Source organism: Homo sapiens, chromosome 3 (assembly GCF_000001405.40).
Source record: "Homo sapiens chromosome 3, GRCh38.p14 Primary Assembly".
Taxonomy (NCBI): Eukaryota; Metazoa; Chordata; class Mammalia; order Primates; family Hominidae; genus Homo; species Homo sapiens.
Window position 1 is genome coordinate 151,280,126 of NC_000003.12, and position 13,048 is coordinate 151,293,173.

General features: G+C 38.5%; 1 protein-coding gene across 24 annotated transcripts in view, besides 1 other annotated feature; it reads left to right on the forward strand.

Annotated features, from left to right (window-relative positions):
* Positions 1–13,048, forward strand: part of MED12L (mediator complex subunit 12L) — a 350,990-nt gene that overhangs the window by 194,462 nt on the left and 143,480 nt on the right. The window lies entirely within an intron of this gene.
* Positions 3,896–4,190: a silencer, noted in NCBI's record as "tiled region #3159; HepG2 Repressive DNase matched - State 8:EnhW". NCBI's record gives its function as "represses a minimal TATA promoter and a strong SV40 promoter by Sharpr-MPRA in HepG2 cells {active_cell/tissue: HepG2}" and the evidence as "EXISTENCE:reporter gene assay evidence [ECO:0000049][PMID:27701403]".

Sequence of the window (13,048 nt, forward strand, 5' to 3'; positions counted from 1 at the left end):
CCCTACAGGTGGTCCCCTCGTGGCAGGTGGTACAAATGGGTTGGACTCTGTGTAAGACACTTGGGAGTAGAGGGAGTATGGAGAAATGGAAAGCTAAAGGGCCCACCCAGGGGGACAGTTGTGTCTGGAAGCTTGCCAGAGTCATGGGCCTCATCTTGGGATGGGCCAGTGTCTTCAGAACATTAAACGCTGATTTGCATGTACTGTTCTAAACACTCTGTGTGTTTTAGCTTGATTACTCACAATGGCTCCATGAGTAAAGTAGGTCTGTCTACTACTTCTTCCCCACCTTTTTCTTAATAGACAAGGAAACTGAGGCATGGAGATGTTACATCAGGTTGCTGGAGCTGGGCAGATCCTGGAGCCTGTGCACTGCTACTGCCTTTATATGTCTCCTCTGATTTCATTTGTTGGTGTCTAAATCGAATACCTTACAAACCAGTGTAGACCTGATACCCTGTGGGCTAAAACAAAACCTGAGTGTGCACTGTATTGGGCTTGTGAGCAGTCAGCTTGTGACCTCTGTTCTGTGGTTTTATTGGCACGTAGCAGTACAAGGATGGTGAGGGGTGGGTAGGGGGCAGACAGCTAGGCACTTGAAAGGAAAGCTCATCTGGAAAGATTGGATCGTCTCAAATGCACATACTCGTACACTCGATTGAAGCGTACTCTGTGCCTACTAGATCTTTTCACAGCCAAAACACCTGGCAACCCTTGGAGAAGTAACTATTCCTTTTTTTCACAAGTAAGAAAATAGAGCCTCAGAAAATTTAACAGTTGTCTAAGCTAGAAAGTAGCAGGACTGGACTTTGAAGTAGTCTTTAGGTTGTGCTGTACATTTTGTGGATATGCTTAAATCACAGTTTAGCTTGTACACATTTTCCTTTATTAGAATTGGAAGTAAGTATTAATGTTTGAAAAAATATTTTAGCCTGACAATATTTATTCTATCTTCATATGTTTTTGAAATTAGATATTTTAAACTAGGCACGGTGGCTCACGCATGTAATCTCAGCAGTTTGGGAGGCCGAGGCAGGCAGGTCACAAGGTCAGGAGCTCCAGACCAGCCTGACCGACATGGTGAAACCCTATCTCTACCAAAAATACAAAAAAAAAAAAAAAAAAAAAAAAAAAGTTAGCTGGGCATGGTGGAGTTCGCCTGTGATCCCAGCTGCTCAGGAGGCTGAGGCAGGAGAATCACTCGAACCCGGGAGGTGGAAGTTGCAGTGAGCTGAGATTGCGCCACTGTACTTCAGCCTGGGCAACAGAGTGAGACTCTGTCTCAAAATAAATAAATAAAAAATAAAAAGATATTTTATTATGACTTTTAGCAACGTAGGTAATGACTCTTTTCAACACTAGACACCAGGCATAATACAACATAGCCAATAACGACATTATAATTAAAATAATAGAGGGCCTGGTCCTTGTGTGCAAGAATCTTTTAAAAAACAAAATCTAAAATAGTCAATATTTTCCTTTTATCTGTGGTGTTTTGATTTATGCTAAATAGTTCTGAATTCCCATTTCCTTTGGTGGAATCCTAAGATTAAAGTACTGTGATTTCCTCCTGACTAATCTTTTTCTCAGAGCCCTCAACATAACCCTGATATGACAACCACCCCTAGCCCACCCCACGTGCTCACACATTCTCCAATACCATTTAGAGACAGGACTCTGCCTTATTAGTAATAGGACTGGTTATATATAAACATCCCTTGTGTATTCATACTACAAATAGAATGAGTTTAACACACGTAATCCCCAAATATGTCTGTAACTGTTTCCAGTCAGTTTCTATCCAGGCCGTCATCGACTGCGCATAAATAGCTGGCTGGCTTACATTTTGATTCCATAAATGTCCTATTTTGCTCCTTACCCCGGAATTCACCTATGCATAATTGTTACCATATGTCTTTTGAAATCATTTTTCTTTAAAGTAAGTACAGAGACAACTTCATTGTTACTGCCCTTCCCCTGCCTTTCCCTGGTTGCTTTATTGAGCATAGTGAGTAAGACACTAGCGCATCCGGCCTCATCCCCACTTGCTCTCTTGGAGACTTGTTCATGTGAGCCCTGTATAGACCTTATTCTTTTTCGTAGCTTTGTAGTATTCCATAATTTGTTTAATCAGTACCTATTGATGGATTTTCAGATAAATATGAACATTTTCAATGAATTTATTTTAACCATAGCAGATATTTGCTGGGTTATATAATTTAGTTTTTTTTTGTTTTTTTTTGTTTGTTTGTTTGTTTTGCTGGCAAGTTATTTATAATTGTGTGTGTGTGTTTTGTATGTGTTGGGGGGCATGGCTGCCGAAAGGATTCCACTGGTTGTTGAGAAAGATGTTGACGTAAGAATGTAGAGGATTTTAGTAAAGGCCCGGTGTAAACATTTTATGAAAGTACAGTGTACAAGGATATTTAAAGGAAGCATATTTGGAAATTGTCCTCTATAGGATCTCTGAAGGAACTAGCATCCAAAATGCTTCTTGTTGGATGGCTCTTTTACTTGTAGAATGGGGGTGAAAGTCAACTTAGTACTGTATTAAAAGAATGATGTGAGCCAAGGTTTAATGTTAGGAAAGCCAGCAAAGGTGGAGGAGCGCGTAATGTCGGGGATCCAAAATGTCACGCTCAGGACTTCCTAATTTAGTGTGCTGTAAAGTTTTTGAGCTTTGTAGTAAAATAATTGAAAAAGTGTTTTGAAAAAATTGTAATCTGATAGGAAAACATTGAATGCAGACATGCCTTTTTATGTTTCCCTATGTGAAGCATTCAGTTCTACCAGCTTGTTGATTTAGAGTAGTGGAGAAAGGGGGCAGAAATTACATCATTAAGATGTGAGATAAGTCACCACATTATAAAATAATGCCTTTTTGTTAAACCTCTTGCAATGAATGACAGGACATGGGACTTCATTGGCAATTGTGCACTTGCCTTCATCTGAGAATTACAATGGAGAAACAAATGCCTGGTACAATATCACCCCCTTCTGGTAGATTGAAAGAAGTAACAGTTTTTAAAAAAATTAATAGGTGCAATTTGTACATGTATTGTAGGCAGTTCACAAAACCTCACTTTGGTGTGGATACTAACGTTGAGTCATGGTTGATTGTCTAATCCCAATTAGTTGAAGTGTGCAAACAGATTTTCTGTATTGCTAGCATTAGATTGGGTTTAAATCTTGAAAATCAGAAGGACTGAATCTCGACTGATGTTAGCAAAGAATCAGAATTTAGAACTTTGTTACAAAACAAAAACTTTTGTATGTGTATTTTCTCTTTTCAGTATTTTTTTTGGAAAGATGCTGAGGAAGCAGAGGAAAGCATTTTCTTTTTCACCTTGAGGTCTCACAAATGTGTCATCTCTGATTATCTTCCTGTTGTTCCCATTTGCTTGCAAGACTCACCACGTCTTTAGACATGTCCCTAATACCTCAGTGTTGTCATTATTCTTCTGATGTGGCCTGTGTTTCTGTATCATGCCTAGCCGTCCTTGCTGGCTTTGTTTTGTACCCGTGATGTTCACTACCATAGTACATACTCAGAAGTATTTGTTAATTGAATATCTGTAACCAAAATATGGGGAAGACAGAGAATATTCTCCAACTCCGTGCTCTGGTTCTGCAAGTAAAGATAAATGAGATAATGGAAATTATCTGAGAACAATGACTATGAATATTTTAAATAATATTATCCCAAGTGTATTAAATCATCTAATCACTTGTAGTTGTACACTTTTGAATCCCTTTTGTAGATGTCTGAATCCCTGACCTGCATAATGATTCAACTTAGGACAGGTAACTAAGAGGATGACACGCCGCTTTATCAGACAGTTTATTTACTCAGTACCCTAACTGCTCAGCTTTTTAATACAGTGATAGAACAAGTTAGGAAAACAGGCCTTGGGAAGTCACTGAGTGAGCTGGAATGAAACTTAATGAATGTAAGAACATACTTCGTTTTTGTCAGATAAACTTTCCCACAGTTGTTCTGATAAACAGTGCTGCTTGTCATCCTGCCACGATGTGTGGGAGGAGCATGGCCTCAGCAAGTTTAAGGAAAGATTTGTGGTGTTGACTTTTCAGGGAACTTGACTGAGGGTTAACTGAAATCAAAGGAAGTGCTATGGGTGATCACATGTAGAGTTTTGTTTGTTTTTTTTTTTCTACCCAAAGAATAAGCCGCACCTGACATTATGTAGATCAGTCATCTCTGCCCAGCAAATGATTTTAGCTAAGCACACTTATTTTTAGTTCTGGGTTGTGGGAGGGTTGTGTGGTTATCTTGGTAATTTAATTTCCTTGGTGGCCTGACTAGAATAGTGGTTTTAGGCAATTAATGCTGTAGAGAGCTGCATATCTTTATAATTAATAATTTGAGCACAACAGTTATTCTTAGGCTATTATGTGTGGACCTGTTAGTTTAATCAGAATGAAGAATCAGTGAGGCCAAATTTTTTATGTATGTTTGTTTGTTTGTTTGTTTGTTTTTTGAGACAGAGTTTTCGCCCTTGTTGCCCAGGCTGGAGTGCAATGGCGTGATCTCAGCTCACCACAACCTCCGCCTCCCGGGTTCTGGTGATTCTTCTGCCTCAGCCTCCCAAGTGGTTGGGATTACAGGCATGCACCACCACACCTGGCTAATTTTGTATTTTCAGTAGTGACAGGGTTTCTCTATGTTGGTCAGGCTGGTCTCGAACTCCCGACCTCAGGTGATCCACCCACCTTGGCCTCCCAAAGTGCTGGGATTACAGGCGTGAGCCACTGTGCCCAGCCCAAAATTTTATATTTAGTCTTTGAATGAGCCATTTAAGGAACAGCTGTGCTGGTTACCCTTGTCTAATTCTCAGTGGTCATGAGGTGGTGCTGTGGTCTGAATGTTTGTGTCCCTCTAATATTTATGTGTTGATAAAAAGAAACAAAATAATGGCATTTGCAGTAACCTGGATGGAGTTAGAGATCATTATTCTTAATGAAGTAACTCAGGAATGGAAAACCAAGCATATGTTCTCACTTATAAGTGGGAGCTTAGCTATGAGGATACAAAGGCATAAGAATAATACAGTGGACTGGCCGGACGTGGTGGCTCACGCCTGTAATCCCAGCACTTTGGGAGGCTGAGGTGGGCAGATCACAAGGTCAGGAGATCAAGACCATCCTGGCTAACACGGTGAAACCCCGTCTCTACTAAAAAATACAAAAAATTAGCCGGGTGTGGTGGCGGGTGCCTGTAGTCCCAGCTACTCGGGAGGCTGAGGCAGGACGAGAATGGCGTGAACCCAGGAGGCGGAGCTTGCAGTGAGCAGAGATTGCGCCACTGCACTCCAGCCTGGGTGACAGAGTGAGACTCTGTCTCAAAGAAAAAAAAAAAGAATAATACAGTGGTCTTTGGGCACTCGGGAAAGGATGGGAGGGGAGCCAGGGATAAATGACTACACATTGGGTACATTGTACACTGCTTGGGTGATGGGTGCACCAAAATCTCAAAAATCACCGCTAAAGAACTTCTCCATGTAACCAAGCACCACCTGTTCCCCCAAAAACCTATTGAAATAAAAAAAAAATAAAAGAAAAAAACATATTGAAATCTAATCCCCAATGTGTTGGTATTAAGAGGTGGGGCCTTTGGGAGGTGACTAGGCCATGAGGGTAGAGCCCTTGTGAATGGGATCAGTGGTTGTATAAAAGAGGCCCTTTGACCTTCCGCCATGTAAGGACACAGGGCACCATCCATGAGGAATAGGTCCTCACCTCACATGGAATCCGTTGGCTCCTTGATCTTGAACTTCCCAGCTTTCAGGACTGTGAGCAAGACCTTTCTGTTGTTTATAAATTACCCAGTTTAAAGTATTTTGTTACAGCAGCAGGAATGAACTAAGAGAGGTGAGTTGTATGATGGTGTGTGGTTATGATAGGAGGATTTATTCAGAGCCCACCTTCTACTTGATTGGGCTTTGCAATCATCAGTCTCTCTCAGGAGAATCACAGACTTCCTGTGACCCCGCTGTTGTAGTTAGAGTACTCTGTGCCCTCACATGGCTCTACCTCCTGATCAGCTTTTCATTTAGTTGTGGCCTGCAGGGAGACCAGTGCCTTGGAAAGGCAAATGTAGTTTCTGTCTCTAAAGGTCTCTTGAAATCAATACAGAACATAAATTTTGTACCTACCAGTCCATAGTATTAGGAAAGATTTGTGATAGTTTTGCTTTGGAGTAGAGAAAAAATATAAATTAGAATTTAAATTATTTATTCCTTCTGCAAGCAAAAGCAAATATTCAAATTGGATGGGCTGTGTTCCTTCTTGTGGTGTTAAGCAAAAAACTTCAAGCAATAGGCACTAACTCAGAAAACTGTTCTCCATGCTCTTAGGAAGCATCCATGAGAGATTTTTGTTAAATAGCTGCTAATCCAGCATCCAGGGGTTCACAGTTTGTGTTAGCTCCATGGAAGAAGCTTCACAGGAGGGGGAGCTTCTCATTGATGAAATGGCTGGATTCATGGAGTTCTTTTTCCTTAAGCTGCTTGTTTTATTAGGTAATGCTATCTTAACATAGACATATTTTCCTATGTATTGTGAACATAGGGGCATATATTCTTGTTTGCCTACACAGTCCCAGTTGAAACCTGTTGTGCCAGCTCAGCAAGCAACACTTTCACTCTCAAAAGTGTCCTGGTTTTGACAATAAATTACATGAGCCATTCTAATTTATAATTATAAGGGAATAAAATGATCGAAAGTGTATGATTGATTGGCTTAAACTAATGTTCTCATAGTTAGATATTGTCTGTTATGCTTATTAATCAGTTTTTTCAGGCTTTAGTTGAGAGGGCTTCCCAGCTTCAACCCAAGCCTTAGAAAGTTACTTCTTCATCTCTAATTAGGGGCAATGCTAGTACTTCCTTATGGGTTTGTTTTGGGGATTAAATGGGTTAATACAAGTCGGGTGCTGGTATGTAGGGAGTGTTCAGTAGACATTAGGTATTTTAATGTTATTAGAAAATAATCAGTCAATGTTAAAAGTTCTAGAAAAGAGTATGCAAAAGACTGGCAAGGAGCAGAAAAATCAAGACCTCAAGTAGTATTGCCATCAATGTAAATCATGGCAGTTGGTTTATTTTTCCTCTCTCAGATGGCACAAAGTAAGAGGTGGGATACAGGTCTGCCTACCTCCAAAATCCTTTCTTATCCATGAGACCAGACTTGCTACTGCTGGGGTTGAGCTACAGTGGGTACCAGGCCAGGCAGGGCAGAGACCTGCCTTGTCTATTTCTGGGGGTGGAGTGGCAGGATTTGGTAAAAGGTTGTTAATGGGAATGAAGAAAAGAGGGCACTCAGATTTTCAGTTCAGGGGCCTGGGTATATGATGGTATTGTTAAGTGAGTTCAAGGGTAAGCGGCCTCCTTGGATGGGGTGGAGACAGAAAGTATTGCAGTCCTGGTGACAGCATGGACTTTGTAGTCAGACACCAGAGCTTCAAAACCTGTCACGATCACTTCACTTCCTAGCTAGGTGTGCCTCGGTTTCTTCATCTGTAATAGGATATCTACTATATAAGGTTCTTGTGGCGATTTAAAGGTTTATTAAAAAGTAAAGCATGTAGGACAGTGACTGATGAGCACTGTGTAAGATTTGATCATTATCACTATTTTTAACTTGCCTCTTTAGGGATTTCTATGGGAAGTATATCTATATATCTACAGTTATCTTTCAAATAGCATTTGTACAAAACTTCAAAGCAGTCATCTATTGAAGCTTTTTAATAAACTTTATAGAAATCATTGCTTTCTTTTTTTACCATTTTTGTGATTAATAGAAGCGGCCCAGAAAAAGTTTACCCTTTATTTATTAATACTCTATCCCTTCCCAAATTTGGTTGGTACCTGCTGATATCTAGAGATCTGGGATTCTATATTGCTTGAAACCTTGGTCATATTCTTCTATCTTTCCACAAATGGCTCAGGAATCCAATCAGGGTTCTCAATGTAGGCATTACTGCCCCAGAGAGTATTTGTTGATTTCAGGATATTTTCTTGTTGTCCCTATGTTCAGTGGCTGGGACCATGAATGCTTTATAGCATGCAAAGTATGAGGCACAATTCTTACACAGTGAAGAATTGTCCCATGCTGCTTATAGGAGTGACCCATTAACTTTCCCATGGGTGAAAAACTTGTTCATTAATATCTGAGCCTATAATTTAAGTCTATTTTACATATAAATGTATTTTTTCTGGTTTAATAGACACCAGCCTAATTTTTCCAAGTATATAGCTACTGTCTACTAAATACTTTATTTGGAATCTTGTCAAGAATTATTTATTTTGGAGATCCACATCACTAATGGTAATGATATAAGTTGTGTTTGGGTCACAAATATTTGTATCTGTTAAAAATTCACATAATTAAATGTATAGATCCAAGCATTTGACCACTTCATGTTGAATGAATGAATGACATTATTTCAAATAGTTCTGCCTAAGCATTTACATGTTCCATTACATGTCATTATATATTTTTCTCTCCGTTTTTCCTTTGAATTATGATTATGGTTACATATACACTTGCAGGCAGGCCTTGATTTCACAGTTCTGACATGTATTTGAGTTATCATGATTTAGTTAAATAATACCAGTCTCCCTGCAACAGTCCAAATTTTAGTTACCACATTATATTAACTGTAAGTAGTTGCATAAAGCTATCAAACTTAATTGATAGCTCTCCAGTTCGCAGCTCATCATGTAAATAACATACAGGAGTGGCCAGTCATCTCACTTCTTTCAAAGTCTGTTGGAGATTGGTCACTGCACATCTGGTATTCAGTTCATGCACAGGTGGCAGCAAAGTGTGTAGTTGTGTTGCCTCCTTGTTTGCCAATAATAAACTCCATGACATTTTACAAAAAGAGATATTTGAAAGAGGGTATACCAACAAAAATTAAAGTTCAGGAGAGAAATGAAAAGTGATAATATAGGAAGTGAAATTTGAATCACAGGCATATGGAAATACAAAAGAAATAGCTAACCAGGGGAAGGTTAAACCTCTATAATATGCTGTTAGATGAACTTAATGAAGGCAAAGTTATTAACATCTACAGGGAACGGATGAGCTATCCCAGAGTAAGTGATGCTGACAAGAAACTTCACAATTAAGGAATTTTTGAAATATTTCATGACGTAGAAAGCACAAAGGATAAAATGTTGGAAGTTGACTCATACTTACAAAGGTACATGACAATTCTATAAGGCATAGAAAAAGATACTCACTCTGTATTATAAGTTATATACTGAGAAGAAGTCAAGAACTATTCAAGGACGTATGATATGGTTCAGGTTTTTTGCAAAATACGTAGAGGTAATTCATCGTTGGGTAATTGACAGATGGCTTTCTGTGTTACGAAAGATATTTTGCTTCAGGCTAGCAGTAACCATCTTAAGCATTGTATATAGCTTTTTAAGACTGTTTAAAAACTATCATGGGTTAAGGGGCTGATTTACATTCTTTATGCTAAACTTGTTAGCCTCAATTATACATGCTATGTGTTTGTCTGCATATATATTTATGTAAATGTGTCCAGAATGTTGAAAAGTCTTGCATGTAACATTTAAACCTATACCTAGACTTGGAGACCCTGGGGAACCTAGTATCTATTTGCAGATTCTTGTCATAGGCTGATTAAATCAGATGTATGGTTCAATTCTAGGAGTTGCTGGGGAGTCTGCCCAGACTACAACCACTGAATATTCTCGAACACAATTTTTTTTTTTTTTTTAAAGACAGAGTCTTGCTCTGTCACGTGGGCTGGGGTGCAGTGGTGCGATCTCGGATCACTGCAACCTCCGCCTCCCAGGTTCACCCGGGTTTGAGCAATTCTTCTGCTTCAACCTCCTGAGTAACTGGGATTACAGGTGCACACCACCATGCCTGGCTAATTTTTGTATTCTTTTAGTAGAGACAGGGTTTCACCATGTTGGCCAGGATGGTCTTGAACTCCTGACCTTGTGATCACCTTGGCCTCCCAAAGTGCTAGGATTACAGGCATGAGCCACCACTTCCGACCGTACTCTAACATAATTCAAAGAGAAGTTGGCCAGTTTACTTTTATTAAAAATGTTTGCCTAAACTGAAATAAAAGGAATTTCCAATTTAATTCTGTATCTTGAGTTTCCAACTAAGGAGAAAAAGAGATGTGTGTCTCTAAGGATGACTTTTTTTTAAATCATTTTTATAATTTTAGATGATTTCCTTTCATTGTGGCTTATAAGAAAACTTCAAGAGTATTCAAAATGAAAGTTGCATTCAAAGTGAATCTTAGGAGTTTCTTGATAAATTGATGGAAAATTTTATTTAACACTGGTAGTCTTACTCCTCCCTATTCAGTTCTAATGATGATTTTGTATACTTTTGAAACTATAAATTATACATTTTTAAAATTTTTCTATAAGTTAATTTAGAAAGAACAGTCTATTTGTAGCATTTTCCCATGAAATTCATGTTATTACAGCCTTGTTTTTTTTTTTTTTTACATCTGTAACAAAACTTCTTGACAGCATTAATTATTCTCATCAAGCATTTCCATATTACACTGAACTAGGCAGCTGCAGGATACACATTTGTATACATTAGCATTAATAAGGATGTTTAAAGGAAAACTTTAGCAAAGTGCTAGGCTGTGTTACTGTGAATTCGAATGCTGTAAATAGGACAAAAATTGAATTTTCTTCACCTGTTTTGTGAATTTTACCACTAGATGGTGATGGAAGACTGGGGAGTGTGCTGAATTCTGCATCTACTATGATACTTGTATTATGTTGAAAATCGAAAATGTTTGTTCTTAAGTATTTAATTTTAGAAGTCATTTAGGGGTATCCAGAGATTCTTTTATGTATCATGCTGAGCACAGTATCTTTTTATATGGCGTGTGCTTAGTATTTATTGATAATTGGCTTCTTGTGGTGCTTAGTCTGGGTACAGTCTTTATAAGATTTAAATGGTTCCTACGCTTTATTTTGTCCTTGTTTTCTGTTTTTTTTTTTTTTTGTTTTTATTTGTTTTTTTCTAGTATGTCACATTTCCTTATGGTGGTCATTACATGTTTTTATGTTTAAGCTGTATTTATTCTCGTTTGCATGTGTGCACACACACAAAATTTTGACGTATTTAAATTTCTGCATTCCCTTAGGCACCACATTCTCTTGAAACGATGGTTGAGAAACAAAATACTATTATACAATTTCAAATTGAGGGTAAAATATTTATGAAGTGGTTTAATGAATATAACAGTCAGTAACACACACATTGAAAGATTTTCTACAAGATCAGTTTCTCTGAATGTCAGTTTTATGAAGAATGGAAAATTTCCTTTTGGAAATTCTCTGAATATGTTTCTTTTCTGCATAAAAGGAAGAATAAATACACTATTTATTGCTTTCTGAGAAGATTCTGAAATACTGAATGTAATCCAAAAGCCCTAAGTAAGAAATTTTGGATTTCAAATTTTAGATTATTCCCAAAAGCCAGTTTTGAAAAAGCAATCAAATGTAATTATTTTATTCAATATTAATAGAGTATTATGTAACTTCTGACACTAGCATCATGTATTATTCCCATTGATGTTATTTAGCTCATGTAAATGATTCATTTTTCATTGGCCTGGATAAATATTTTTCATGCCACAGCGTGGGAATTGGTATGAAATATAAGCAGTTTGATATTGATGGTTTTTGTCATATGACTTTTAAAAAAATAGGGATGATGTTCTCTGTGTTTTTAGCCTACGTTTGAAGATATTCCATTGATTTAATAATGTCATGTAGGAGAAATAAAGCTACTATCACATTAAACATGCCTAGTAACTATATAGCAGTCTAATTTTAGAAACATTAAAGTGGGATTTAGATGTTTTAAAGACCTCTTAGAATTGAGGCCTGAATGAAAGGATTAAATGAGATATGGGATAGAGAAGTACTTGCTAAACTCCAGAGTGCTGAATGGAGCCAGTTGATGCTGTTAAAGAGGTCATACATTTAATAGCTTATATAAACACGAAAGTAGATAATATCATTTTTGAGATTATTGCCTGGGAGCTGTGGTGTGGTAGAAACAGAGGATGAAGAGGATAGGACATGTACTGAAGGTATTTTCCCAGCAATAATATTGCTCCTTTTTTTTTTTTTTTTTGGATGGAGTTTTGCTCTTTTGTCCAGGCTGGAGTGCAGTGGCATGATCTTGGCTCACTGCAACCTCCCCATCTGGAGTTCAAAAGATTCTCCTGCCTCAGCCTTCTAAGTAGCTGGGATTACAGGTGTGTGCCACCATGCCCAGCTAATTTTTGTATTTTTAGTAGAGACGGGGGGTTTCACCATGTTGGTCAGGCTGGTCTCGAGCTCCTGACCTTGGCTTCCCTAAGTGCTGGGATTACAGGTGTGAGCCACTGCGCGCAGCTTGCTCCTCTTCTTTTTTTTGAGATGGAATTTTGCTCTTGTTGCCCAAGCTGGAATGCAATGGCACGATCTCGGCTCACTGCAACCTCCACCTCCCGGGTTCAAGCAATTCTCCTGCCTCAGCCTTCCGAGTAGATGGGATTACAGGCATGCGCCACCACGCCCGGCTGATTTTGTATTTTTAGTAGAGACGGGGTTTCTCCATGTTGGTCAGGCTGGTCTGCTCCTCCTCTATATATATACGGAAGCTGTAATTTACCTGTGACTTTCTGGGGAAAGTGGAGAAAAGAATTGGCCTTTCAAATTGCCTTTTCTTAATTAGCTGATCTAAAATATGACTATCTTAATCTAGCCAGTGACACACAATTGGGGGCGGTGATAGCTATGCAAATGACCAACTGAGGTATATATAAATTCATGCACTTCAGTGTCCATTGCATTTATAGAATTGGAATCTTGATGGACAGATATTTTGATAGAAGTCCTCAGATAATCCTTTTAACCCCTTTGCCATTAACCTCTCTGCTAAACCTGACTGACTTAGATAGAGTAAGACACTAGACACTTAGAGTAAGATTCTTTGTAGTCCCTGAATTCTTTTCCTC